The 27,882-nt window shown below is 52.9% G+C and overlaps 1 protein-coding gene across 30 annotated transcripts in view, besides 6 other annotated features; it reads right to left on the reverse strand.

Moving 5' to 3' along the window:
* The window catches only part of WHRN (whirlin), a 103,394-nt gene continuing 78,394 nt past the window's right edge, over positions 2,883–27,882 (reverse strand). For 4 of the 30 annotated variants that reach the window (XM_047423164.1, XM_047423161.1, NM_015404.4 and 1 more), the window contains 9 exons: positions 27,014–27,216; positions 25,791–25,827; positions 25,137–25,349; positions 24,117–24,326; positions 8,750–8,821; positions 7,158–7,695; positions 4,699–4,880; positions 4,020–4,142; positions 2,883–3,739 (listed from right to left, as the gene is read on the reverse strand). In XM_047423164.1, the coding sequence (XP_047279120.1) occupies positions 3,557–3,739; positions 4,020–4,142; positions 4,699–4,880; positions 7,158–7,695; positions 8,750–8,821; positions 24,117–24,326; positions 25,137–25,349; positions 25,791–25,827; positions 27,014–27,216 (1,761 nt within the window). In that variant the 3' untranslated portion in view covers positions 2,883–3,556. Of the gene's footprint in view, positions 3,740–4,019; positions 4,143–4,698; positions 4,881–7,157; positions 7,696–8,749; positions 8,822–11,682; positions 11,785–16,604; positions 16,706–18,201; positions 20,692–20,839; positions 20,873–21,625; positions 21,694–22,892; positions 23,094–24,116; positions 24,327–25,136; positions 25,350–25,790; positions 26,972–27,013; positions 27,217–27,882 lie in introns of those variants that run through there. The other 26 variants (XM_047423165.1, XM_047423163.1, NM_001173425.2 and 23 more) reach the window with 20 other exon arrangements.
* Positions 6,231–6,280: an enhancer, noted in NCBI's record as "active region_28864". NCBI's record gives its function as "activates an Ori minimal core promoter by ATAC-STARR-seq in GM12878 lymphoblastoid cells {active_cell/tissue: GM12878}" and the evidence as "EXISTENCE:reporter gene assay evidence [ECO:0000049][PMID:35858748]".
* Positions 6,231–6,761: a biological region, named in NCBI's record as "H3K4me1 hESC enhancer GRCh37_chr9:117167737-117168238".
* Positions 6,260–6,761: an enhancer, noted in NCBI's record as "H3K4me1 hESC enhancer chr9:117167737-117168238 (GRCh37/hg19 assembly coordinates)". NCBI's record gives its function as "activates a minimal SCP1, AML or CMV promoter by ChIP-STARR-seq in naive H9 embryonic stem cells {active_cell/tissue: H9 hESC(naive)}" and the evidence as "EXISTENCE:reporter gene assay evidence [ECO:0000049][PMID:30033119]".
* Positions 6,621–6,730: an enhancer, noted in NCBI's record as "active region_28865". NCBI's record gives its function as "activates an Ori minimal core promoter by ATAC-STARR-seq in GM12878 lymphoblastoid cells {active_cell/tissue: GM12878}" and the evidence as "EXISTENCE:reporter gene assay evidence [ECO:0000049][PMID:35858748]".
* Positions 10,391–10,440: a silencer, noted in NCBI's record as "silent region_20212". NCBI's record gives its function as "represses an Ori minimal core promoter by ATAC-STARR-seq in GM12878 lymphoblastoid cells {active_cell/tissue: GM12878}" and the evidence as "EXISTENCE:reporter gene assay evidence [ECO:0000049][PMID:35858748]".
* Positions 22,108–22,608: an enhancer, noted in NCBI's record as "H3K4me1 hESC enhancer chr9:117183585-117184085 (GRCh37/hg19 assembly coordinates)". NCBI's record gives its function as "activates a minimal SCP1, AML or CMV promoter by ChIP-STARR-seq in primed H9 embryonic stem cells {active_cell/tissue: H9 hESC(primed)}" and the evidence as "EXISTENCE:reporter gene assay evidence [ECO:0000049][PMID:30033119]".

Raw genomic sequence — 27,882 nt, forward strand, 5'->3', positions numbered from 1 at the left:
GATCACAAATTATGGGTCAGACCTGTTGGAAGCTCTTCTGCTGTTCAGTCGTCTCCTATGAGGTAGGTAGGTATTATCACCACCGCCCCCAAGTATATTCTTGTCCAACTCCCCATCAGGCAAGCATGGAAACCCAGCCCGAAGACGGACAAGAACTTTTCCAAGGTCCCGCTGTGAGTGCAGCACAGACATCATACCTTGTCCACCACACACACACCTTGAAGGATGCACGGTGTCCAACTCACCTGGGCTCTTTGCCCCAGCTCTGCCACTTGCTGCCAGTGAGCCTCAGGCAAATGGGATTCATACCCACATCTTATGCGGTTGTTGAGAGTAAATAAATAAACATAATGGCAGGCCCGTCAGAAATAAATCAGTGGTACTAATTTAAAGAGCACCTTGACCGACCCTATTAACACAAGAGGGTTAATAAGTCCTGATGCAAGAAGAGACTTGCCCAAGGTCCCTCATCCAGCTGCATCCAAAGTTGAATGCTTTGGAATTTTTCCTCCAGGTAGAAAGCACTTGCCAGTTCCCCAGGTTGCCTGCTACTCCCTAGACACATATTTAGTAGTAAGTTTAGCAGCAGCTTCTACCCACTAAGGGCCTGCTCTGTGAAAGGGGCAAACATTTTAGCTAATCCTTCTGGGCTCTGGCCCTGGAATGTCAGTGTAGGAAGGGCCCAAGGTGTTTTTCCACACAGGTCATGGAAGTGAAGTGTTTTTCTGGGTTTGAGCAGCATGGCGGTCCTGACTCTTGAACAGAATGGGGAAACCGAGGCTTGGTGCATTGTGTAACCTGCCCAGCATTCTCCAGCAAGGGAGAAGCAGACCCTGAGACTCCATTCCCCCCAACCCCCACATTGGCATCATGAGTAAAAATGTCAGGGTCACAGGTACATGTGGCCAGGATGGACCTCTGACAACCCTCCCCCCACTCTCCCAGTACTTGAAGCTGCCTTAGCCTACCACACTGGGCCCTTCAAAAGACACCAGGACAGGTGCAGGAAAGAGCAGACCCAGGCTTAAGGCAGCTGTGGGTCCAAACTTGTCCTCCTTAGCTGTGTGACTTTGGACAACTAACTGGACCTTTCTAAGACCACTTGCAAAGGAATGTTTTTAGGTTAAAAGTTCTACTGGGAGGGGAACCCATACACTCAATGGGCTACAGCCTCAGAGTCAGGCCCAGGAATTCCAGAAGCAACAAGTCCAGAAACTCATTCCTGTCCTACTCCTTCCAAGTACAGACATGGGGCTGTGACTAACAGCTGCTGGGGGTGGCAGCTCCATTGTTAGTTTCCTATGGCTACTGTAACAAATTAAAACGGCACAAATACCTTCTCTTACAGAGGGCAGAAGTCTGAAATGAGTCTCTGGGCTTCAGGTCCAGGTGACAGTAGGGCAGCTTTCTTCTGGAGGCTCTTGAGGGGAGAACCCACTGCCTTGCCTTTCTCTGCTTCTAGTGGCTGTCTACATTCCTCAGCTCGTGGTCCCTTCCTTCATCGTCACAGCACATCACTGCAGCAACCTGTTTCCATCATCACACACCTTGTCTTCTTCTGTTAACATCTTTCTCTGCTTCCCATTTATAAGAGCCTGGTGATTATACTGGGTCCACCCCATGTCAAGACTTTAATCATGTCCGCAAAATCCCATTTGCCATATAAAGTAACATTCCAAAGTTCCAGGGATTTGAATCTGGGTATCTTTGGGAGCCATTATTTAGCCTACCAAACCCATTTTATAGATGGGGAACTAGAGGCTCAGAGAGGTAAAATTACTTGCCCATGACCACACAAGCTTTGGAGTTGAATGCCAGGAGATCTGAGGCCTAACGAAGCCCTCCTGCTGCTAGGTGGGAGGGTCATTCCCTGCAGAGGGTCAACAGCACCCTGTCAGGGGATGGCAGGGGTGCCTTCTGAAACACCAGCTGCCTCAGGGGAATCCATGGCTCAGGTCTCAGGTGGTCTGCCCAGGCTGGAAAGAGAACAAGGACAGCCAAGAACAGGATCTGGGACAAGAGCATGGAACCAACTGTCCCTAACCCACCTCTGGCAGAACTCTGGACACAGAACTGGACAAAGCAGGATTTCTCAAACTCTTCCATCTTCCAGACAAATATTGAGGACAGAAGGAATAAGCACTGGGGCCGGGACTGAGGCCGTACAGTAGACCATGTTTGCAACCTTTTCCTCCGAGCCCATCCCATATGTTTTGCTCTGACACCCGCTGTCCTAGGCTACTGGAACAGCTTGACCCACATAGGTAGAGAGCAGGAAGTGATTGGGAATTTATGGCCTCTCTCTGTAGGCTTTGTCTAAAGACTGACAGGCATCAAAGTCCAGCCCTCTGGCCTTGAGTGGAGACAACTCTAGGCCTAGTGTACGCCCTGGGATCCTCCTGGGATCAGGCTGAAGCTGCCTTCTGCAGACTTTGCCTGAAATCTCACCTTCGCTTGGCTTCCTCCCCTTCCCTGTCCTGCTTCCCCACTTCCTTGCTGGTCTGCCCTGAGGGCACTTCTTGACGATTGATTGGGTACAAATCCTTATCTCCAAGGCAGCTTCTGGAAAGGAATGGGCTGCATCTGAGATTTAAAACATTCATGCACATTGTGCATTCTGCCTCATAATATACTTGTGGGTTTTAATCTAAAAATATTATCTGTAAATAGTCAAGTTTTGCCTTCAAGCCTTCAATTAAGAGGCTCCAAGATGTGAGTGTGGCTCAAGCACCCCTGCACGCCCCACCGTGTATCCCAATTGGAGCCATGCGGGCAGTCGGGGTGGTGGTCTGTGGTGCTCTGACTGCCCCCACCTGTCCTGCCCACCCCTCCCCACATGGAAACCCCAGCCACCCAGGTAAACCACACAGCACGCTGACGTCTAACCTTGTTCAGATTTCTTTATTGAAAAATTAAAGTCATAAGCTCTGTATATAAATACAATGACACTGCTGGTCACCTGCAAGGCCTCTGGGATAGGCTGGGGGTGCAGAGGGAAGCTGGGGCCTTGGGGTCCCCAGGGGCATGGGGAGGGAAATAAATAATAAACACCATGGGGGATAAGGAGCCAGGAGGAATGGGGGTGTGAATGGGGAGGTGCTCGATGCTTATTTGTGGCACTAAAGGTCTTGCAAGATGCCCCCTGACTGGGGGCCGTGTCCATGAATTCTCGAGTGACCTCACTTTGGACAAAGGCTCAGGCATCTGGGGATGGGCTGGGTCCTAGCTGGAGGGGGGACAGCAGTGCCCCCAACCCAACCTGGAGAAACCAGCACTCTGCCCTTCCTTTTCCTTTCTTCCTGTCTTGCAACCCACTTGTCCTGGGCGCCTACTGTGTACCCAGTACAGCACCAGTTCCTGACCTGACCTTCTGTCTGCCTTGTCCTGCTCTCTTCCTCTCCCAGTTCTGGTCCAGTGGGCTGGGATGGAGGGGGGATGTCTTCCTGCCACCCTGGCCATGCAGCCCCAACCCCGCAAGGAGCTTGATGAAGCCAACGGTGGAAAGGGACTGGGACCAGGGGCTGGGCAGTGGTGGGAGGCCCTCAGGCCTTGGCCTCTAGAGCATCACATTGAACTCAGTGACCAGAAAGTCAATGTAGTCACGGTCCTTAGTCTTGAAGGCCTCGGCGATAATGCGGGCGGCCTCCCGGTGCTCCTTGCCCCGAAGCGTCAGCCCATTCACTTCCAGAATCACGTGGCCCACCTTGAGCTGCCCACAGTTGTGAGCTGAGCCGCCTCTCTGCAGGGAGGAGACACAGGGCATGGGGTGCCCAAGGGTTAGACAGGCCTGGCTTTGACCACCAACTGGGTCAGTCCCAACACTGCCAAGCAGGCAGCTACAATCTGAGTGTCCACTTCTCGGATTAGGAAAGCTGAGGCCCGGAAGAGCAAAGGTGACATAAGCCTAGGTCTGCCCTTGAGTGCCGTGTTACCCATGGGAGTCGCAAAACCCTGGAGATGCTGAGAAAGGGCCTTTCAGGGGTAGGGAGAGATGGCAAGTGGGGCCCCTGGGGACATACCTGAATAGTGACAATCCTAGGCAGGGGCTGGCGGGTGTTGGCGCCACCCTCGATGGCGATGCCCAGGGTGGCCGCACTTTTCTTCACACGGACCAGAGTGGACGTGGGCTCCAGAAGTCCAGGCTGTGGGTATTAGGAAGGACACCACTGAGGCCTTCGCAGTTGGCAGGCCTGGCCAGGGGGCTGGGCCGGGCCGTGACACCACCCTGGGTCAGCAGAGCTCAGGCTCCAGCCCTGTGTCGGGAGCCTCAGGTGTGCAACGCACTAAGCCAAGCACTTGTGTTCTTGGCTCTTTAATCCTCACCAAAATCCCCGAGGCTCAGGAGGTTAAGGAGCTTGCCTAAGGCTGTCTGGTGGTGGCATCAGGACTTGAATCGAAGCCTGACTCCGAAGACTGTCTCAGCCACCTGGCCATGTCAAAACTGAGAGGAGCTTAAAGATTCCCAAGACCAATCTCAGCCTCAGCCCCTAGTGTCAGTGCAAAGGCAGAGCTGAAACTGGGCCTCCAGATTCCTAATCCAGTGCTCCTCCAGGACGTCCAAATCCCTCCAGTTATAGGGAGCTCACTACCTCCCTTTGTGGTCACTTGCCAAGCTGAGCCCTGGTCCCGGGACCTCCCATTCTGTGCCTGGGGCCCGTGTTCCTCTCAGCCCTCTGCATCCTCCTCCTCCTGGCTCACCGGTTTGTTGGCCCCATCTGTGGGCCTCTCGTTCCGAGGCAGCTCCTTGCTACTCCTGCTCTTGGTGGACACCGACTGCCTTCCTCGGCCTGGGGCGCTGGCCTCTGCCTCGCCAGCATCCACACCACTGTCCTCGCTTAGAGTCTGCCCGCTGTCCGAGAGCTGGGAGAGCGTAGAGGCTGCTGGAGAGGGGAAAAGGAAGAGAGAAGCAGCTTATATAGCTGGGGTCAGGGAGGGCTGCCTGGAGGCAGTGACGGAGATGGAGGCTGGAAGGCTGGGGGAATTCCCCAGGCAAAGATGGGGGAAGGAATGAAGAGATCGTGGGGCCAGAGGGCAGGTCCACTCCCTGCCACCCTCTCCACCTACTCAAGACCTGTCCTTTCAACCAGACCTGGTCTTGAAGGCTGTGACTTCCAGGACATCTGCCTGGATCTCCCAGTTCCCAGCCACTGGCATAATGATAAAACAGAGGTCAGGAGGCAAACCTAGCCCACAGATGTGGGTGTTTTCTTTGTTTTAAAACTCACATAATGCTACCAATTTTTAATGATGAACCAACACATTCAAATTAGAAGATTTCATATAAGTAATTTCTAGTTTCCCAAGAATAAAAGAGAAATTCCACCACACCTAGCCTGAACCCCTGCATGGCCCCTGCCTGAGCCGAGTGGTGGGCACATGCCCTCCAGCCACCAGTCAACTTCACTATGTGTGTAACAGCCTGGCCCCTGAGTTTGAGACCCTAACTTAAGAACACACACTCTGGAGTCTGGCAGGTCAGGTTTGAATTCCCACTGACCAGCTGTGCAAGCCTGGGCAAGTAACAGAGCCTCTCTAAGCCTCCTATGTTCTCCTTCTAATACAGAAATGATGGTGCCTAACCACTGGGGTGATTGTAAAAACTCACAGATCTGATGTATAGAATGGAGCAGTCCAGGGAATAGACTTGTGCTAGACTGCCTGGCTCCAGGGTGTGGGTTCTTAACCTAGGGTTTCAAACTCAGGGGCCCGGCTGTTATACACATAGTGAAGCAGCGTGGGTTGACTGGTGGGCTGGAGGGCATGTGCCCACCACTCAGCTCAGGCAGGGGCCATGCAGAGGTTCAGACCAGGTGTGGTGGAATTTCTCTTTTTCTCTTGGTAAGCTAGAAATTACTACTTTCTCTCTCTCTCTCTTTTTTTTTTTTTTTTTTTTTTGAGACAGATTCTCACTCTGTCATCTAGGCTGGAGTGCAGTGGTGCAATCTTGGCTCACTGCAACCTCTGCCTCCTGGGTTCAAGTGGTCCTCCCACCTCAGCCTTCTGAGTAGCTGGGACTACAGGTGCCCACCACACCTGGCTAATTATCGTATCTTTAGTAGAAATGGGGCTTTCAGCAAGTTGCCCAGGCTCCTGAGGTCGAAATCCTGACCTCAAATGACCTGCCCGTCTCCGCCTCCCAAAGTGCTTGGATTACAGGCATGAGCCACTGCACCTAGCCAGAAATTACTACTTTGTATGTCTCAGTTTGTTCATTTGTAAAATGGAGATAATAATAGTACCAACCTCATAGGGCTACTGGGAGGATTAAATGAGTTAATACTATAGGCAAGGCCCTTTGAACACTGGCACAAAGTGCTTATTGTTAGTACGGCTGTTAGCTCTTATTATCCCTGCATGTCCAGCTCAGTGCCAGCTCTAGAGACAGCAGTGATCCATCTGTGACAGCCCTGGGTCTTCTCACCACGTCTGCCTGCTCTCCCTCAGCTGCCTCCCCTCACTAGGCTGCGAGCGCCAGAGCCCTGCATTTTGCATCTTGGTCTGTGCAGGCGCTCAGGGAATGTCCTACGGGGCCTATGTATCACTGTAGCCGCAAGATGGCAGCAGAATCCAACAAAATGCTCCCAACTCACTCACAGGCGGGAGCTCCACAGCTTTCAGGGTGGGGAGGCAGGCTCTGCCCTTCCCTCTACCCCACAGCCCATGTCCTCTAGCAAACCGGGGCACAGCGTCAGCTGGCCTCCCCAAGATTCTTCCTGCACCCTGACCCTAGACCTGCCAGGGGTCCAGAGACTGCCACTTCAGTTTCCAGCATCTACTCCAGGCCAGGCCATGGCGGACAGGAAGGGAAGCCACCCCTGCCCTCCACGAGTTCAGTCCTCCTGGTGAACACAGGGTGGCCAGGGTAGGGGGAGCTGGAGAAGGCACCCCGACGCTCGCAGCAACCTGGCAGGACTGTCACTGTTATCTCCATTTTATGATGGGGAAAGCAAGGTGTAGACGGCAGCTTGTCCACAGTCACACAGCCAGTCAGTGGCAGAGCCGGGATTCAAACTGGGGTCTCCAACTCCCTTCGCCACTCTGGCCCTGAGCCCCCTCAACAAGTAGCTGGTCCCCCCCTTCACTGTGTCATCAGGTAGACTGACCTGAAGAGGACAGGGACCCCCAAGGACCACAGAGCCTGGCCTTGCTGTACTCACTGCGCGTCTGGGGCAGCGCCCTCACTTCATTGACGTCTGGCTCGCTGTCGGGGCGGTGGACCTCCACCATGACAAAGTGCTGGTTTGTGCCTGTCTGGTCTGGGTGGCCAGAGGGTGATGGGGGCAGAAGGCAGCCCCCAGCCACTGTGGCCTCTGCAGAGGGGCTTTTCAGGTGCGGGGGTGACTGGACCCGTGGGAAGGGGCCGATGGGGTGTTGGTTGACCAGGGCCAGATGGGCGTCCAGCGGCCTCTTGGAGCTGGGGTTGGCAGGGGAGACGGAGGCATAGATGGGGGAAGAGGGCAAGTCCTGTGCAGAGGAGGTCCCTGGGGTGGGTGCGGTGCCCGCTGGCGGGCTGCGGTTCTGTGGAGCCGAGAAGACAGTGCCCGAGCAGGAAGGCATGGAGGAAGGTGGCTGGAGGTCCTCTCTCCCCAGCTTCCTTGGCTGGCCTAGTGGGAGGTCGTTGCCTTGGGCCAGAGGTGGTGGGCGAGGCAGTGGCTTGAAGCTTGACAGCCCCTGGGAGGTGGATCTGACATCATCCTGCCAAAAGACCCAACAGGCGGAGAAGGAGTCAGACCCCATCACGCCTGGAAGAGGGGAGGCCGAGCAGCTGAGTGGTGCCAGGCCCAGCTGGAATTCTGTCCCCACTCTAACTGCTCTTGGCCACACTGCTCTGAATAATGCAACACCTGAGTGGAAAACTTCTCCCCTGCATCTCGGCAGCTGATAAGCGTTGGGATCTTGGCGGGTGTCTCTGGGGACAGCATCATTACCTTTGGGAACTGAAGTTCTTGGCATCAGCCAGAGCTTGTCACAGGGAACAAGACTTCATTAGAGACACGATGAAGAGGATGGAAATACAAAAAATGCATTTATTTGGCTTTTCTTTTTAGGGGGTGATCTTGAGTACTAGAGGCAAGAGGTATGAAAGGACTGGAGAGAGAATGGACAGGAGGAGATGGATACATGGGCTGGGGTGCTATGTGGCCCCAGGCAAGGCACAACACCTCTCTGAGTGCACCTCTGGGCAATGGGGAAAAGCACATCTACCCAGCAGAGGTGGTGTGGTGATGTCAAAAGCCACGTGAATACTGTTAGCACAGTGCCTGCGCCACAGCAGGTGCACAGTGAGGGGCAGCTATGGACACTGTGACTACCACTCCCCTCTGCCTAGGTCAACACCGGACACCTGCACAGCTCCAACAACCTTCCAGTCACCATCCTAAAGGCTTTACTTAATTAATTTACTCCATGCCACGAACTTATGGGGTAGGTATGCTATGATCATCATCCCCACTTTACCGACGGGGAAACTGAGGCACAGAGAGGCTAAGAAACTTGGTCATACTGTGGCCAGCCAGCCTGAAGGCCCCGCCTGAAGTCACCAGAGGCAAGTGATCCTGGTGCCTGCTAGAGATACTAGAATGGTGAGCTTGTGCACAGACCTGTAGCTGGGTGTGAGAGCTCATGGCAGAGGCCTCTGTCTCCTTTGCCACCCTGTGCCCTTTCTCCGTGGCTGTCATGGAGAGGAGAGAGCCACCAGGACCTGAGCACACCAGGGAGAGCAGAACCAAAGGGCCAGCCAGGGCCTTACCACGGACACATCTGGGAGGGCGTTGATATTGCCCTGGACAGCCTCGCCAGTTTCCTCCAGGTCCAGAGTGTTCTAGAAATGGACGAGAAAGCAAAGTGAGCAAACAGAAGCTGAGAAGGGAACACTGGTTTGTTCTCCAGCACACCAAAATTGAGGAAGTCTTAGGACACCTCCATGTGGTTCATGTGAGCCCTGACATACCTCACTTCATCGAAATTCACTTTACCCATTAAAATGAAGGTCAATTTGCCTGCTGGTCACTTTGAAGTTAAGTTTTCTTTGGGACTTTCTGATCATTTTCAGGCATCCCCTGAACTGCCAGAGATGCTGGGGCATCTCTAGCCTGGGCTGGGAATTCCTGGGTTTGGCCACGAGCGCTGTGCTCCACAGTCATGCCTCCAAAAGCCAAGGCCTCTCTCCACCACTTGCTGATGAATCCCAGGAAGGTGTGAAAATGGCAAGAGAGAAGTGGATGGGGAAAGTCTCTCCCTTTTTAAAATTCTAATGGTTTTAATCCCAAGGTGGTGGTTTAAGGTTTAAATGGACCTTATTTTGCAAAAAACGTCTATTTCTTTCTTCCCTTCCCAATTCACAAGAAGAAACCCAATGCCTCCTTAAGTGACACTGGGCTGCCAAAAGGCCATTTGTGGGCCGTCTATGGGGGGCCCATCGGAGCTCCTCTCTGAGCTGGGCTCTCTTGAGGGCTAAGGGAGCCAGTTCTCTCGGCCCTAGAGCCCAGAATGGAAAAGAGCTTCCACCACTGTGATGATTAGCTTCGCGTGTCAACTTGACTGGGCTAAGGGATGCTGAGATAGCTGGTAAAACATTATTTCTGGGTGTGTCTGTGAGGGTGTTTCCAGGAGAGATCAGCATATGAATGGGTGGACTGGGCAAAACTCACCCTCCCCAATGTGGGTGGGCCTCATCCAATCCACTAAGGGCCTGAACAGAACAGAAAGGCAGAGGAAGGGCAAATTTGCGCGCTCTTCTAGAGCTGAGACATCCATCTCCTCCTCCCTCAGACACCGGAGCTCATGGTTATTGGGCCTTTGGACTTGGACTAAAACAAAACCACCAGCTTCCCTGGGCCTCCGACTTGCAGATGGCAGATCAGGGGACTTCTCAACCTCCATCATTGCGTGGGCCAATCCCACACAATATAGTATAACTGATTGCTTCTCTTTCTCTGGAGAACCCTGCTGGCTACATCAACACTTGGCTGAGGTCTCAACTGCAGTGCTCATCAGTACTGAGCAGTCTCTGAAGCTCCAGGCTGATAAGGGGCTGGGGACACAGAGGTGGGACACCAACCCTGCCATTGGTAGCTCAGAGACAATGGGGTCAGTCGACAAGCAAACAAGCAACAGGGAGACTGCAGAGAGAGCATCCAATGGGCAAACACAGGCATATAATGCAATCGGGGGAGGGGTTACCACGGAAGGCTTCCTGGAGGACGGGGCACAACTCAAAGCTAGGTCTTATGAGTGAGCAGAGCAAAGAAGGGAACGATAGGTGTTTCAGACAGAGGAAAGGGTGTAAAGCAGGAATGGAGATAGGATGTTTGAGAACCCCCGAGCAGCTCCACAGAAGTCAAGCATGGAGCTCTTGCACTTAAGCCTGAGGGCAGTGGGTTGCCATGGAGATGTGGTCAAGTTTGCCTTCTACGAAGATCCCCTTTGCTCACATCCTCTCCAGCCAGGCTGGAACACCACGGATGTGTCAGCCTTCACACTGGCTGTTGTCTCTGTCTGCGACTCTTCTGCTTGGCTATCCATCCACAAGGCATGCTGTCGCTCACCTCCAAAACCTAACCCACCTGTCACCTGCTCGACAAGGTGTACCCTCACCACCTCAGCTAAAATCGTAACCTTCCCCTCACCCCACTCCACCTTGCTTTATTTTTCTCCTTCTCATTGATCACCATCTCCACCCAGCAGCTAGGGAGTCATGCCAGAAACACATGTCAGGTCTCTCTGCAGCTCAGGACCCCCAAGGGCCTCTTCATCTCAGTTGGAGGAAGTTCCAAACCCTACTCATTGTGCCTACATGACCGGGCCCTTTCCTGCTACTCCAACATCACGAGCTCATTACTGCCCCAGGGCCTTTGCACCTGCCGCTCTCACTCTGCACCACACTGTGGTTCATTCCTTCACTTTGTTTAGTTCAGACCTCAGCGAGGCCCTCCCAGAGAAGCCCTGTCTAAAACAGTACTGCCCCACCCCCATCCCTGTCTATCCCGTTCCTGCTTTGGTTTTCTGTGTAACACCTATCACCATCTGACTTTATACTCTTTGCATACTGTCTGTCTCTCTCAATAGGATATAAACTCTGAGAAGGCAGGACATGCAACTACTCGGTCCTCACTCTCTCCTCACTTTTCAGAACAGTGGCTGCTGGATAAATGTTTATGAAGCAAACTGATGAATCCATGAATGAATGGCAGGATGGATGAATGAATGAATCAATCACTCTAGCCATCATTGGAGGAGGCCAGAGCAGGCAGGGAGTTGAGGGGGGTGGTGCTGCAGGTCACTGCAGTGAGCAGTAATGAATGTCTGAGTGTGAAGGCAGCAGGTGGGGACAGAAGGCACTCCTGACGCCATACCCCTAAGACAGAGAGAGGCCAGTCATGCCACACATATCCCCATCTCGACCCACAAGATGCTGGCTCGGGCCTTCCGGGTCAGAGCCCTGCAAACCCAGAGCTCCTCATCTGGTCCCATGATGCTTCAGGGGCATAGTCAGGCAGGGGCAACTGCCCCCATTTCCCCACAAAGTTGAGGTTTACATGCAAACCTTGGTCCTGACCTGTTAACTGCACACTGCCTCACAGGAATCTGCTGCTGACAGCCCCTGTGATGCAAGCGCGGTATGTGGTGGTTGGGGGGATTCTTTCAAAAGGGCGAGGGTGATTGGGCTGCTCTCTCACTCACTGATTAGTGACACTGGTTCTGGCTCTGCCAACTCTGAGGCTTCTTTGAGCTCACACCCAGTTCTGCCGCTTGCAGCTGAGTGATGGTAGGTAAATCCTTCCTCTGTAAAATAGGTTAACAGCAATACCTGCCTTAGGCAGTGGACATGTTAACACTTACAAAGCACTCAGAATAGGGCCTGGCACAATGTACGAGGAAGGTGACTGTTACGTGCATTGGGAGACTGGGAGGCCTTGCAATCTGCCCCAGCAAGAGAATGAACCGCGAGACGTGTCCTGGCCCATATGACAACTAGGATGGAAAGGAATGGCAGCCCTCTCACACCACCTCCCTCCTCCAAGACCATAATGAGTCCAATGCTCCCTGGAAGTAGTCCAGCCAGGCGCGTTAAGGTGAACAGTGAGGCAGTGATTGACATGCATTCACTTCCTCAGGCTCAACATTCATAGTCCTGGTGTCAGCAGGAGGCACAGAGAGGGGTCAGAGCCTCAGAGGTATCTACAGCAAAGACAAGGGGAGCCTCTGCCACATTCAGGTGGAGCCACTGCCCCCTGCCCCAGGAATTCAACCTGCAGCTGATCCTGGGGGAAGCTGGGGTTGGACTCAGATGACAGTACATGGTAGGACCAATGCCGTGGGATCCTGCCCTGCTCTGGCGCATCAGGGGCTTTGCACATTCAGCTGTGCAGGAAGCTCTTATCAGGCAGCCATGACTTTCCAGGGAAGCTCAGGGAGGGTGTGACTTTTTCCCAGAAAGGGTATTAGAGAACTACAAAGGACCTACTGTGCGCCAGGCCCCGTGCTGGGTGTTTTACTTATATTATCTCATTTGATCCTCCCAATGACCCTGTGAGGCAGGCACTAGGACTGTCCCTTGTCACATCGATTACACCTGAAGTTCAGAGAGGGAAGAGACTTGTCCAAGGTCATCTGACCGTTCTACAGAAGGTAAGGTTTCTAACCCAGGTCTGGGTCACCCCAACGCCCATACTACACTGTCCCAACCCCAGAAATGAACAGGGCCTTGATGTCATAGGAACCTGAGGCCCCCATGAGCAACCCTCTTGGAAATGAGAGAGAAGGCAGCCATAGCTGGCCCTGTCCTCAGCCTCATTCCCTGCTACTAACTGCATCCTGGGGACATGGCAGGTGGAGGTGGAGGGTTGGGAGGGTGAGGGGTAGACGAGGGATGAATATCCAGCCCTGTCAGGGAGGCCTGAAGTGGAGCAAATGGCAGACGGGTCGGAGCCCAGCCCTCTGAGCCCAGCCCTGCCAGACTCCATCTGCTGAATCCAGACGCTCAGGAGTCCCAAGTCCCCGAGCCATGTTCCTTATGCATCTGAAATAGCTGCAGACAGCCGGCTAAGAACCCGGGGGATGCATCAGCAGAAATGCCTGCGGAACAGGCTTCCAGAGGAGGCTCAAGGTCAGAGCTCATGCAGGAGCTGGGCCTGTTCACTTTCACCACCACCCACACACAATCACAGCCACCTGGGCCCCCTCCCCCTGTACCCACTGAGGCCAGAGCCTCAGTGAGGGCATAGACCTGGCGGCTCCATTAATCCTGCCAGATGGGACCCTTCACCCACTCTACAGCTGAGGTGACTGAAGATCAGAGCGGGAAGGTCATCTGTCCAAGGTCACACAGCAAGGACAGGGCAGAAAGCTGAACTCTATTCAAGGCCCGACTCCATATCCCCGACAAAAACCTGCTTCCCATAAGAGCCAAGATGACCTGCTGTCATTGTTCTTCCACCTCCTTCCTCAAACCTGTGGCAGTTCAGCAAATTCCCTTTTTTTCAGAGAAAAGAACCCCTTATTTCCTGAGTTGGCCCAATCAGGGCCCAGGTATCACAGAAGTGTGGTCTTGGGGAACTGTAAGGGGATGAAATGAAGAGGGGCAACCTTTGCGGGGTGGACTCAGGGGCAGGTAAGGCTCCCCTGCATGATGTCAAAGCCTGAGGCTGCCTGGGCACTGCGGGGCCACCTCAGCAAAATGCAGCTTCTCCCTCCTAGCCCTTCTCCTCCCCTCAGCCCAATTCCGGGTTTCTAGGCCTCCTTCCCCTCATTACAATGGGAGGGCTGTTACATAAAGGTGCTATTTCCAGCTCTTTGTTCGTTGGGCTTCTGTACTTCTGTCAAGCCAACAGGGTCCCCCAACTCCCATCCCAAAATGCACCAGAGGCCTAAGGCTGAGTGGTTCTTTCTTCATTCTGTATGTGGGGAAACTGAGGCACTGAGTCACAAAGGCCTCTGGATATTCGCCAGTGGGGGCCTAGATTTTGCCTGAAGGGGCTGCTGACAGGAAGGGAGATAAAGGCAGAGGGAGAAAGAGATTAGAGGGAGAATAACAGAAAAGAGAGAAAACAGAAGATTCAGCAGAAAAGGCACAGGCGGAGAGCAATGTAGAGAAACTGAAGAAGCAAAGAAAAGAGCAGGGCAAGTCCGGTGGCACGGCCAGAGCTGGGCTGGGAAGAGGAGCTTGTGATCCCAGGAAAGGCTACGGGGGTAGGGAGATGGAGGGACAGGGATGTGAGCCAGGGAGAGCCAGGAAGTCCTGGCATTCCTGGGGGGCAGTGGGGCTCCCCAGAGTGAAGGGTCAGGGGCCAGGGAGCCAGAGATTTGTGGGACAAGACCCTGGAAGTGTCAGTCATGCAGGTGGCGACGGGGAATCATTGGACCTGCAATCTCTCCAAGCACAGGGTAGGGGTGTAAGTCTGTGGGCCAAAGGGAAAGGTCAGAGGTGCAGAATGGGAGAGAAATAATCCTGAAAGCAGCTAACTGGGCCCCGCACTGGCTGGTGTGGCTGAGATCACAAGAACAACCTCAACACTGGGCCAGCACTGTGCTTTTCTACCAGCCTGTCTATTCTGGCTATCATATTTGACCACCAAATCACAACATTAGGGAGCTCTCTGGGAAGCTTCTGCATGAAGCCTTCCTGAGATGGGGCAGAAGTCACTGCCTCCTTGTAACCAGGCCTGTGCCCTGCTGAACAGACCAGGCTTCCTCCTGCTAAGCTGAAACCTGCTCCACGCCTCCCTCCCTGTGGTCTTAAGAAAAGGACGTCAGTGGAAAGAGAGAGTGACCCAGAATCTCTAGAAGGTTAAGGCAAGCAGAGCCCTCAGGATAAGGCTGGAAACCAGTGCTCCTGGGAGGGAATGCAGGCACCCGAGAACTTGGCTGGGGGAACTGTTACATCTTCATTTCCATTAACCTCTAACTGAAAGGCCACGTTTCCTTTCATTGCTAACAGAAGCAACAAAGCCTCAGAGGAACTGGTCATGGTCACCCACAGAGAGCACTGATCTTTCACGTCACATTCCAGCTGCTACAGATGTCACAAAATCCCATTTATGCACTTCTTGGCTTCACAGTTACAGCAGTTACTGACTCACTGCTCAACCCTGTTATTGCTGTCCTAAAGTAGCATGTTTTACGTTGTGTTTTCATATTCTGAAAATTATATCAGGTATTTCCTGATGTAATTTGTCATCCTATGTATTGTGTTTTATTTTAAACATTTAAAGCTTTATTCTAAGAAGGGGTCCCAGCACTTCACCAGCCTGCCAGAGGGGTCTATGGCACAGAAATGAGGAAGACCCCCAGTCCTAAGTCAGTGCTTTGTCCAAGTTCCCCTTTGATAGCTTGGGAAGTCCTCACTCAGAGGGCAGCTGGGGCCAGCCCATGTTCAAACAGGCTCTGACCTCCATGGGCTTGGCTCTGTTTGGTGGAAAGAGCTTCCAGCAATCCCAAGTTGTCACAGGGGAAGGCAGGTGTTCCATAAACCGCTACAGAGACAGCAAAGCACTGGCTGAGAGGAATGGTCCTATTCAGGCTCCAGGTAAAGCTGTGGCCGGCCTGAGAGGCTTTAATGCCTCTGGGCAAACTGATGATTCTGGAAGGTGCAGGGGGCACATGCTGAGGCCTCCCTGGGATGGAGTGGGCTCTTCTACTCAAGGAGAAGACACCTATCATCCTCGATATGCCCTCTCTGGGCACTCAGCAGCTTCCTGGGGTGGGGGACAGGAGGTCATCTGGACAGGAACAACAGCCTCTCCTGGTCACCCGCATCCACCTTGCACCTCTGGGCTCTCTCCACACAGAAGAGGCAGCTTAAAAAATGTAAACAGAGGGCTGGGTGCTGTGGCTCACACCTGTAATCCTAGCACTTTGAGAGGCCAAGGCGGGAGGATCCCTTGAGGCCAGAAGTTTGAGACCAGCTTGGGCAACATAGTGAGACCCCCATCACTACAAAAAAATGTAAAAATTAGCTGTGCATGGGAGCATGTGCGCCTGTGGCCCCAGTTACTCAGGAGGCTGAGGTGGGAGGACCACTTAAGCCCAGGAGTTCAAGGCTGTAGTGAGCTACCCCAACAGAGACCCTATCTCTTAAAAAAAAAAAAAACACAAACAGGATCACATCACATCCTTACTCAAGATTCTCCAGAGTATCCCATGGTTTTAGGGTTAAACACAAACGCCTCCCGCTCCTGACCCTCGCCCCTCTACCCCTCACTCCTGACACTCCAGCCCTACTGGTCTCCTTCCATTCTTCTGAGTGGCCATGTGCCAACCTGCTCAGGGCCCTCAGACATGCCCCACCAGCTCCTCAGCTGTCTCACCTCATCTATTGCCTGGCTGTAGCCAACAACTTCAGATCTTAGCTTCAACCTCTCTCCCCAAGTACCCCAGACTGGTCGGGGCCCATGTATGTTCTCACACCACCCTTCAGCCCGCTTTATCAGAGTGTGAGTTATGGAGATGATTTGAGTTGAGGTAGCCTCCTCCACTGGACTTGATCAGCTTCAAGAGCACAGGCTCAGCCCCTGGCAGGCAGGAGATGCTCCACAAAGGCTGCTGCATAGAAGAAGGAGTGGCTGAACGCATGACTGAAGGAATACATGGAGTTCCTCTCTTACCCCGCTCATGGATGGAGAACGATTCTCTAAACCATCCAGGTTGGACCAAAGTCAGGATGCAGGAGGAAAAATAAGGCCCTTTGACAGTTTTCTACTTGTTTCTGAAAAAAAAAAGCTGGTTTGACAGTGAGGGGTCCCTGCAGCTGGAGGGGCCTGAGACAAGCCTGAGCTTCTCCCAGTTCACTGTGCTGCAGACAAGGAGGGAGGCACAGAGGCCACAGAAGGAGGCCAATGCAGAGAAGCACTGACAGCCACATCTACTGCCCCCTATTCACCTTCTTTTTGGGGGACAAGAGGAGGGAAGAAGGACAGTAAGGCCTTCAGGGGCAGGGATCCTGTCCCCAGCATCCTTGGGCAGGGGCTGGGAGCCTCCTTCCAGGCATATGACAGGGCTGGAGCACAAACTCTCTCAAATCCAGGTGGAAAAAGCCTGAGGTCAAGTCCAGGGCAAATCCCAGCTGCTGCCACCTGACCTCAAGGGCATTTGCTCCTTGAGTACAAGGCTGGCCTTGACCTCTCCAATCCCCTTTTCTCTACAATGCTCTGCAGTGCCTGAAATGCTTTGGCTATGTATCCTCACCCAAATCTCATGTTGAATTGTAATCCCCAGTGTTGGGGGAGGAATCTGGTGGGAGGTGATCGGATCATGCGAGCAGATTTCCCTTTTGCTGTTCTCGTGATAGTGAGTAAGTTCTCATGTGATCTGGTTGCTTAAAAGTGTACAGGACTTCCCCCTTCTCTTCCTCCTCCTCCAGCCATGTAAGATGTGCCTGCTTCCCCTTCAAACTTCCACCATAATTTTAAGTTTCCCGAGGCCTCCCCAGCCATGCTTCCTGTACGGCCTACAGAACTGTGGGTCAATTAAACCTCTTTTCTTCATAAATTTCCCAGTCTCAGGCAGTTTCTTACAGTAGTGTGAGAACGGATTAATACAGGGCCCTTTTCCAACCTTTGGAGTAGAAACAGAATGGGCTCCTCCACACTCCACACCTGCATATCCACTCCTGATCTCACTGAATCTTCAGAACAACCCAGACAGCTGGTCTTATCAGCCCACCGTACAGATGCAGAAATGGAGGCCCAGAAGACACAAGTCATCTGCCCAAGGTGACAAAGCTACTACTCTGGAAAGCAGAACCCAGCTGGTAGGATCCCAGAATCTGTGCAATTAAGCCCCTCTGCCACAGGCATGCTGGCACTAGATGAAGAATTCAAGAAATAACAGGCAGGCCTTTCTTCTTTCACTCTGCTCTCTCGGCCAACATCTTTATGGGGGAAATGATATTGTGTGAAGGCAGCATAAAATGCTCAGGGCTGGCTCTCTGTTAGACAAATGGAAAATCAACACAGTTTGTGAATGGGGGAAAGCTGGATCTGATTTCCTTTGATTGACTGTGTCTGCTTTGAGGGGAAATGGCTGCAGAATGAGCCACATTTAACCTGGGATCAATAACCACACAGCATGATCCGAGGAATTCAGGCTAAATGGAAACTGGCTCCATTTGGGGCCAGTGTCTGGGGCATCTCGGTCATCGATAGCCAGCCACCTGATGTCATCTTGCCCAACTGAACACTAGAACAAAGAACATTTTCCTACCATGTGGGAGGCGAATGTTTAGAAGGCCGCATAGTAGAAGATAATCCTGCAAGTGGCCGGGGAGTGTGTGCTTTCCTTCCAGTTTCTGTTCCACACTTTCTGGGCCTCCATTTTGCACCAGCTCTCGCTGTTTATTGGGGAAGGGAAACCCACGAAGAGGTTAAAGCAATGTGACAAGTGATTTAGCAGAGGTATGAGGAGTGTGTGAGCTCCATGCAGGAAGGGATTTTGGCCATGTTATGTTTTGGGTTGTTGTCCACATTTTAGGGTTATTACTCAGCATTACTGCAGCAAAAGCTTACTAATATGTGGTGTTGTAGACCACACAGCGGCACTTAGTGGTGAATAAAGGTGATTATTTCAAGCTCTTTCTCTCTCTGGAGGAATGCTGCAGTCCTTGTTCAAATATACACAGAAGAGGTGGGAATATAGAGTTGTCATTCCTTGCTGTGCCTCCCCCAAATATTTTCCAGCACCTCCTGATGCAGAGAAGACTCTCAGAACTGGAGGAGCCATGGGGGTCTTCCGTGGTTGTACAGATGGGGAGACTGAGGCCAAGAGTGAGTGAGGGGCTTTCTTGAGAGCACACTGCCTGGGAGAGACAGAGTGGAGTACCGGTGTGGGGGTCCAGACTCCTAGGATGGGTCCCAGTGCCCTGCGTACTCTGCAGGAGGGCTTCCACGTGGAGGAGGTTTGTCCTGTGGCCACACATGCAGCCAACATGGGTGTGCATGGCTAAGGGACTCCCACAGTCCCCACCGGCAGGAAGGGTGGTACCTCCATCAGGTCTATAAACCACAGCAGTCGCTCCTGAGGAAGGGTGAGCAAAAGGCAGTCGCTCCTGAGGAAGGGTGAGCAAAAGGGCCTCCAATCTGAGACCTGCTGTGTGTGGGGGTGGGGAGAAGAGGGGTTCCCAGGAGACAACAGGGCAGGGGCTGACCCAGCCACAGGAGGAGCTGGTGCCTGCAGAACCCATCATCACATCTTTAGCAACTCAGGCTGCATGACCTTCCCAGGCCCTTCGTGGCCCACAGACCTCTGGGTGTGGCTGGTTCCTAGGAATTAACCAGTTCACCTTGGTACAAACCCACTCTTACCTATTCTCAATAATCAGGGGGACCCTGTTAAATCGAAGTCAGACCACATCAGTTCCCTGCTCTTACCTGCCAAGGACTCCCATCTCACTCAGAGTCAAAGTCCTCAGCATGTCTGCCCCCGTACTCCCTCTGCTCTGGCCTTATTGGCCGCCTGGAATTCTCTGACATTCTCTTACCTCAGGGCCTTTGCACATGCAGCTGCTTCTGTTGGAAATGCTCTTCTCCCAGATGTTGGCATGGCTCTCTCCCTCACCACCTGCAGGTCTTGACTCAAGGGTCACTCCCTAACCACCCCACCCCTCTCCAGTCTCCCTTGCCTGCTTTATTTTTCTCCCTAGCACTTGTCATCATTTAGCTTACTGTGTATTTCAGTTATCTATATCCTGTGTTATTGCCTGGCATTCCTGCTGTCTGTTCAACTCCATCGTGGAAAGGATTTCTTTGGTGTTCACCACTGTATCCCCAGAACCTCAAAATGTACATAGCACACAGTAAATGCTCAATATTTGTTAACAGAAAGGAAGGACAAGAAGAAGGAAGGGAGGAGAGAGGCAGATAGATGACGAAATGATGCTTAACAGGGAGCTGGTGAGATCCTTCAGGGAAGAATCACAGCCAGATGGCAGGGGTAACAACAGAGCTCAGAGTCAAGCAAGCCTGGGTTTGAATCCTGGCTCCATCACTCACTAGCCATGCAACCTTGGGCAAGTTGCTTCTCCTCTCTGAGCTTTGGTTTTCTTCTTTGTAAAATGGGGATCACAGCAGTACTCACAACTCCTAGCTCCTGGGATGGTCAAAGAAGATACGAATGGAAAGCACTACCACAGTGTCATAGAGAACATTCAACAAATCTCAGCCACTATTGTTATTAATAAAGGCCCAAATTATGGGCTAGGGTCTGTGCTGAGCACTAGGGATAGGGACTCAATGGTAACCGCACGTGCGATCGCTGCCCTCAAGCAGTCAGCAGTCACATTGGGTAACTGGGAAACCTGTACAGGCTTTTATAATAGGACATAATGAGGCAAGAGCTGTGACCAAAGGAAGCCCGGGGGCAAGAGGAGCCGTGGCCTGAAAGTCACTCCCCTTGGGAGGATCAGGGAAGTCTTCTTGGAAGAGGCAGCTTCTGAGCTGAGGGCTGAAGCACACATAGGAGAAAGTCAGGTCATATGAAGTGGGGAGAAGAACATTCCAGACAGAAAGCACATGGCATATGCAAAGGCCAAGGGGTCTCTCAACATCACGGGACAGAAATTACCATCCTCATTTTACAGATCCTAAAACTGAGCTCAGAGAGGTGAAACCACTTCCTGAGGTCTCACAGCAAGAAAGTGGCAGAGCTGGGATTTGAATGGACGGGATTCTCACTGCAGAGCTCAGGAAACCTGATGACCTGGAAAGACAGTCAGCACCAATAAGAACCCCTGGTCCCCACCAGGACTGGGTGCAGACATACGGGGGTGGCAGAAAAGGCCACAGCCCCCTACCCCGGCCCCTGGTTAAGGGACTCCCACAGTCCCCACCGGCAGGAAGGACGGTACCTCCATCAGGTCTATAAGCCACAGCAGCCGCTCCTGGGGAGGAAGGATGAGCAAAAGGCAAAAAGAAAAGATACATCAAATAAATATTTAGGGAATGGGTGGGTGCAGCAACAACCCCTTCCCCAAATGCACACGCGCACACACACATGCAAAATCCACACGTTCTCCAAACCCCTTTTCTATTTACCTTGAATGCTTTGGGCAGGAATAATGGAGAGAGGGGAGGGAAAGACCCCACTGCCATGACCAGCATCCCTTCATTCTGCCTGCCTCCTTGAAGGAAACAGGCGAGTCCCCACTGCTCTAAAGAAAAGACATTTGTCCCTGCTAAAGGGCCTTCAGGAGACAGTCATTTACTTTGGGGCGAGGCTGGGATCCGTATTCCCAGAGAGAGAAACAAGCTCAGAGAAGGGAAGTGAATTGTCTGAGGTCACACCTGCTAATGAAATGCAGAGCTTCAAGGAGGGCCCTGTTTGGAAGCCTCGGTTGGAGAAGGCCTGGACTTCAGGGAGGCCCAAGCCCTGTGATGTCAGAGAAGCTGAATCTGTGGAAGGGAGCTCTGGACTGTGCATGTGGAGGGTACCTGGGTGGGATGAAGGTCAGGGGGGCGGTGGCAGTCCTTCAGCCTAGCACTTTCCAGACCCTCCACGAGTCCCCAAGGCCCTGGGTACAATCTCCAGGTAGTTTTCCCCAGCCAGGTGGGCTGGGTCCAAAAGAACCGAGGCTTCACCTGCCCTCAGGGTGTGGCCAGCATTTCTGGGATGCTGGTACTAGCAGGTTACTCACCCTGGGCCCACAGGCATCCTCTCATTTAATCCTCCCAACAAGCTGGAGGAAGTAGTATCACTGTCCCTCTGCAAAAGAGGAAATCAAGGCACCGCGAGCTCAAGTGCCCCTTCCACGCTGCCTTTCCTGCTTGCACAATTTTCTCTTAGAATCACTTCCAGGGGCTCACCCTGGTCTAGGAGAGTCCTAATCCTGACATGCATGTGCCACCTGGTGGGCCATGGACTTTCACAGTCACAAATTCTGAGTCCTTCCCACCTCAGAAACTTGGGGAAAACCTTTAGGACCACTCTTTTCATCTGTCCCAAAAAACTCCCTGTATAAAACCACCCTATGGCCTTTCTGAGGCTTGCCTTCCCCAGGGTGCCCCAATTTGCAGTGAGAGCCCCTCTGGCAGAGCAGGGCCAACTTCCACAGCTGGGATCTGGACTGGCCCCAGATGGTGCTTCTCAGGTAGGGGAGAGCCCCCTGAGCTGGGACAAGGTTGCTGTGGGCCAGTGCCGAGCTGGGGGCTCCTGACCCCTGCCCCAGAGCCCTTGCCAGGCAAGATAGTCACCTGACTCCTGGCACTCCAGCCTGATTTGCCCTCAGGGCTTCGGGCTGCTGAAGTCAGAGCCAGCAAGGACCCCAGGCCATTTTATCCAGAAACTGAAGACCAGAAAGGCTGGGGCTCAAACCTAGACCTCCTGCCTCCCAGACCAAAACACATCCCACCCCATTCACTGGATATTTCATCTCTGATTCTAAAGGGACCACTGTAGAAGCACAGTCTGCAGTTTCCCAGGTTTTAGAGCAGTGGCTCATGGCTGCTGAGGCCTGAACATTATCAAGGCCAATCTCAGTGGAGCCTATCTTAGAGAGAAACAGTCATCAGGCCAAGGACCTGCACCCTTAAACCAGATCCTCACCTAAATGCCATATCAAAGTATGTGCTCAGAGCCTGGGGTGAAGGACAGCCTCTTCCCTGCCCCAGAAGTGATCTGCTTGTCCCAGAACATGGAACTGCCTCTGCTGCAGCCATGTCCAGCCCTAGAGGAATGCAGGGCGACTTGTGGGGACATCCCAGGAAGGGGATGAGCACCCTTGGAAATGATGGCAACTCAGGATGGGAGGGATAGGGGTAAAAGAGTATAAAGGAATCACCCCCAGAAACCCAGAATCCCAGGGCTAAAGAAAAGCCACACTAGGAGTTGGAGCTTGCAAAAGAGAAGGGTGCATGCTCCTGGGCCATTTTCTGGTGGCTGCAAGCTCATCCTCACTCATTAACCATCTGTGTTTATAACCATGGCCATCACTGCACACCTCTGAGCTCCTGCTCTCCCACTTAACAAGACAGCTAATACCGTATCTACCTCCAGTCTGAGATTCCTCCAGAAAGAGCTCTCAGTTCAGCATCTGGGAGCAACCGCCTGCTTAAGAAACATTACTCTCCCCACTGCCTTTCCATAGAAGAGTGGTGATGAATGACCTAACGGTGAGAAACAAGGGCATAGAGGAGAGCATGGGGCCAAGCCAGCTCTCCTGACCTCCAGCCCTGACTTTTCCACTGCATGGACCTTAATAACCAGTTGTTTCCCAAGACAGGTAACAATGCATATGCTCCTGCTCCTTCCTTGCAAACGTCTCCTGGGATTCATTTGCCTCCAAGCATCCAGGGGGCAGAACCATATCTTGAGATGGCCAGATGCTTTGCTGGGGGGCTGGTGAGTCTGCAAGAGAGTCACGCTGGGGCCACGCATGGTGATTCACACCTGTAATCCCAGCACTTTGGGAGGCTGAGGTGGGTGGATCTCCTGATGTCAGGAGTTCGAGACCAGCCTGGCTAACATGGCAAAACCCCGTCTCTACCCAAAAATACAAAAATTAGCTGGTTATGGTGGTAGGCACCTGTAATCCCAGCTACTCAAGAGGCTGAAGCAGGAGAACTGCTTGAACTGGGGAGGTGGAGGTTGCAGTGAGCCAAGATTGCACCCCTGCACTCCAGCTTGGGTGACAGAGCAAGAAGCCATCTCGAAAAACAAAAAGAAAGTCAAACTGGGCTTGGGCTCCAGAGACAAAAGGGTGGCCTCTTGGGGAAAATAAAAATCACAGTCCAAGTTACCATGCCCACTACCATCTACTGAGTGCCCAGCGGGAGTGGGCACCATGCCAGAGGCATTCCCAAGGATTCTAATGATCTTTTTCTATTTGCCTAATTTACCTACTTTTTTTTTTTAACCTTTCTCCCCCAGCTTCCCAGACTGCAAGCCCCAGGAGGCAGGGCCACATCTCTCCTGTTCACCTGTTGTCCCCAAGAGCCCATGCCTAGCATGCAGTAGACATTCAACAACTATTAGGTTTTTACAGAGGAAGAAACTGAGGCTCAGAGAGGCAAGGCACACAGCTGGTAAGTGGTGGTGCTGGGATTCGAACTCAGGCTGGTCTCACTCCAAAGCCAGCATCTTAACTCTGCCCTGGCTACTAAGCCAGGGACAAGGCAGAAGAAGCTCACCCTGGCCGAGCTGACGGTGGTGGAGGTGCCGTGGCTGCCTGTGGATGAACCCGTGTCACTGTAGGAGACCATGGAGTAGGTGTCCCCAGCCCCGGGGCCTGGGGGCTGCCGCGCCTTCATGGACTCAATCTCACGCCTCAGCACCAGGTGGTCGAAGCGTTCTAGGTCTTGCGGGGAAATGGTGCCTCTCACCTCAGAGAGGAGTGAGAACTGGAGGCGGGGACAAAAGGGGCACTCAGCAGGGAGCGCTACTAGAAGGTGGAACAGGGGCCCTGCTACCCCCAAAGGACTGGCATGCAAACTTGACCCTGCCTCCCCTCCTTAACTGTCTGGCTCCCCAGTGCTCTCAAGAGAAAGGCCAAACACCGTCACCTGGACACCAGGCCCAGCATCATCTCACTCCTGCTTCCCTGTCATCTCCTCAGCAAGCACATGTAGCTGTGACTCCCTGGACACACTGCAACATTTCATGCCACAAAGCCTCTGGCTGTCTGAACCTTCCACCCAGAATACCCTTTCCAATACTCATCTCCAAATCCTATTTCCTCTGTTAAGTCTTCCGAAACATAACCCCTCCCAGTGGATTTCACCACCTCTTCCTTTGTACAGTTTCTGGACCTCAAACAGTTTGGAGCAGAGTTCTCAAAGCTGGTGGCACAGCACAGTCACCTGGAGGGCTTGTGAAGATGACTGACAGCTGGCTCCCATCCCCAGATATGAGGCGTTAACCAGCCTGGAATGGGGCCCGAGCACTGCTTTTAAGAGCAATCCAGGTGATTCTGTGCACTCAGCGTTGGAAGCCACTGCGACAGGGACCCAATCACAGGGCGCTTTAAATGTCTGTTTCCCCCAGGAGTCTGTGAGCATCCTGGGGGCAGGAGGCTGCCTCAGTCCCAGGTCTCTGCCCAGTGTTCAGTTCAGGCCTGACCCCTTGTAGGTTCTCAGCAAAGGAGCGGGGGCAGGGCAGGATGCAGAGCCCTGGAAATGCTGAAGCCAGTTGGGAGGCAGGGCACGGGTCACCTTGGCGTGGGTGTTGAGCAGCTTGAACAGGGCCATGACGAGGGCCTCCACAGAGACGCTGCCACCACGGTACTCATCCAGGTAGTAGGCCATGGTGGCGTGTTCCTGCTCGTTCAGCAGGTGCCGAGCCTGCTCCTCCAGCAGCACTCGTGTCTGGTTCCCCAGGCTGCTCAGGGTCACCTGGGAGCCGGCTGGGCCCTTGTAAAATCCTGGCTGCAAGACAGAAAGATAGAAGCCCAGGAATTCTTAGCTGCTCTAGAGCTGAGTGGCCATGCCACTCCCCCTCTGCCCTTCCATCCTGTCTAAGTGTGGTGTTTCATCTGTTATTCTCCCTCATAACCCCCAGCACCTTGCCTTGATAGTACTATCTTTCTTAATTAGAATTTGTTTTGTCTTTACATCTCCTTCACTGAGTAAAACCCGCATGAGGGCAGGGACCTGGTCTGCTCTGTTCATTGCCATCAACCCTGGTGCCAGAGGTAGTGCCCAGAACCTAGCAGTCAGTCACAGATAAGTGGGCTGGGGGGTGGGCAGATAAGGGGCTGCCCAGTTGGAATGAGGTAGTGTAAGTCACTCGGCACCCTCTGGCTGGCCAGACCTCCTCACTCAGGGAGCTGTGAGGAAGCAGAGAATACCCCTTAGAGGATGTCCTACCTTGTTTATTCCTTCTGTTGTGAGATCGCCAAGAAACCTGTGGGGAAAGACACACATCTCCAGTTGTGCATTTGAGCAGATCAAATGGGCGTGGGCAAGGGACAGGGTGACTTGGGGCAGGAAGAGCAAAGCTTCAAGAGAACCATGCATCGTGGCCTCCACTCGCTGCCAGTTCAGTCTGGGGGCTACTCAGGGGTAAAGGAAACTCCGGACAGACTGGCAGCGTCCAGCCTCCCAATCAGCAGTGTGCACGGCACCTCCAAAACCACCCGAGGTGGGCTCCTGAGTTGTTGCCAACCCCGCAGGACCAGGCAGGTAACACAAGGAGTGGAGGGAAGAAATGGTGATTGACAGGCAACCTCAGGGTCAGGCCAACCCTCAGGAGCTTAGGGGCCGGTGAACTGGAGATCCCAGATGCAACTCGCAGGTGCGGCTCAGCTCCAGCCGATGTGGGCTCAGGCTGCCAGACTTCCTGATTTTTAAGAAGCATCCAGAAATCCAGTTTTTTTTTTTATAGAAAACCTGGTATCTTTCTAGATGTTGGCAAGTAACTTTGAAAATGTTTAATACTATGCAGGTGAAAGGAAGGGAAGGGGGAGACACACACACACACACACACACACACACACACACACACACACACAGAGAGACACAGACAGACAGACAGACAGACATGCTCTGCAGTGTATTTGGCCAGGTGGCCACCAGCCTGAGATTTCTGATGAAGATCAAAAGGTGACACATTACACTGTTGGCAACTATGCAGCCACCTGGCAACTGGATCTCAGTTTATGACTTTAAGACCCTCTCACCCAGATTTCTTCATGGGATCCAGCCTGGTGGCCTCTGGCCAAATACACCCCAAAGCATCTCTCTCTTTCCCTCTCCCTCCCTCTCTTTCATCTGCACAGATCTGGGATGAGGGCAGGGTTATGGTCCCCACTTTTTGGATGAAGCAACTAAGGTCTATAGAATGAGTTAAGTAATTTGGGGACAAATAAAGAATGAGACAGTTGGATGGTGTATTTCAGCTTTCCATGGGGAAACTGAGGCCAAGAGAGGAGAGGGATGTGCCCAGGTCATGTCCTGCCAATGGAGGGCCCTGGTGTGGGGACTGCAGGCTGAGAGGAGAGCCAGGGCGGTGGAGGGATGGGAGGCAGCTATCACTGGCTTTCAGAAATGGCCCTGGGGTCTGGAGATTGGAGCGAGCAGAGTGGCCAGACCCTGCCGAGTTCGCCATGGTCTCCCTGATCCGGGAACTGGCGATCCACTTGGTCTCGTCCACAGTGGTGCGGGCATGGGGCAGCCTCCCGACGTCCTTCACTGTCAGGATGAGGTGCCGAGATGACTTAAGCAGCCTGACAGCCTCGTCGTGTAGGATGTTGAGAAAGCTCCGCCCATTCACTTCTAGAATCTGGTCCCCAACCTGCCAAGATCACCACACAATACAGTCACCTGGGCTGTTTGCAGGATTCACACTAGGGACTTCACAGCCCAGATCCCAATTCTCCTCTGGGCCAGCCTGTCAAGGAGGTCATCCAGGATCAGAGAGGATGTGAGGATGCCTGAGGGTCACACAGCAAGTCAATAGCAGTGCTGGCCTTCTGATCCTGACCCAGAGTCCATGCTCTTGTCATCAAAAGGGGGCATGTCCCCATGACTCAGCAATGGCTTTGAGGGGTGGGTCTACGATGACATTCCAAGGGTCCCCTTATCTAGAAACAACAGTCATCTCAGGGCCAAGGTGGGCGTGAAGCTGGGGTAGGATGAGGCAAGCCATGAAGGTGGACATCCGTAATTTTCCTCCTACACTTGTACTTTGTTGAGGTTTTTACCTCAACCATGCATTCTTATATTACCTTAAAATGTAAACAAAACTTTAATCTACTAAAAGAAACAGCAATAAATGAGAAAATTAGTTTTCCGTTAAAGCAGTACATATGGCTTAGATTCTTACAAGGAGGCAGCTTTATTTTGTAATTAAAAAAATATTTCTGGCAGGTACAGTGGCTCATGCCTGTAATCCCAGAGCTTTGGAGGAATAAGGTGGGAGGACTACTTAAGCCCAGTAGTTGCAGACCAGCCTGGGCAA

This window comes from Homo sapiens, chromosome 9 (genome assembly GCF_000001405.40).
Source record: "Homo sapiens chromosome 9, GRCh38.p14 Primary Assembly".
Taxonomy (NCBI): domain Eukaryota; kingdom Metazoa; phylum Chordata; class Mammalia; order Primates; family Hominidae; genus Homo; species Homo sapiens.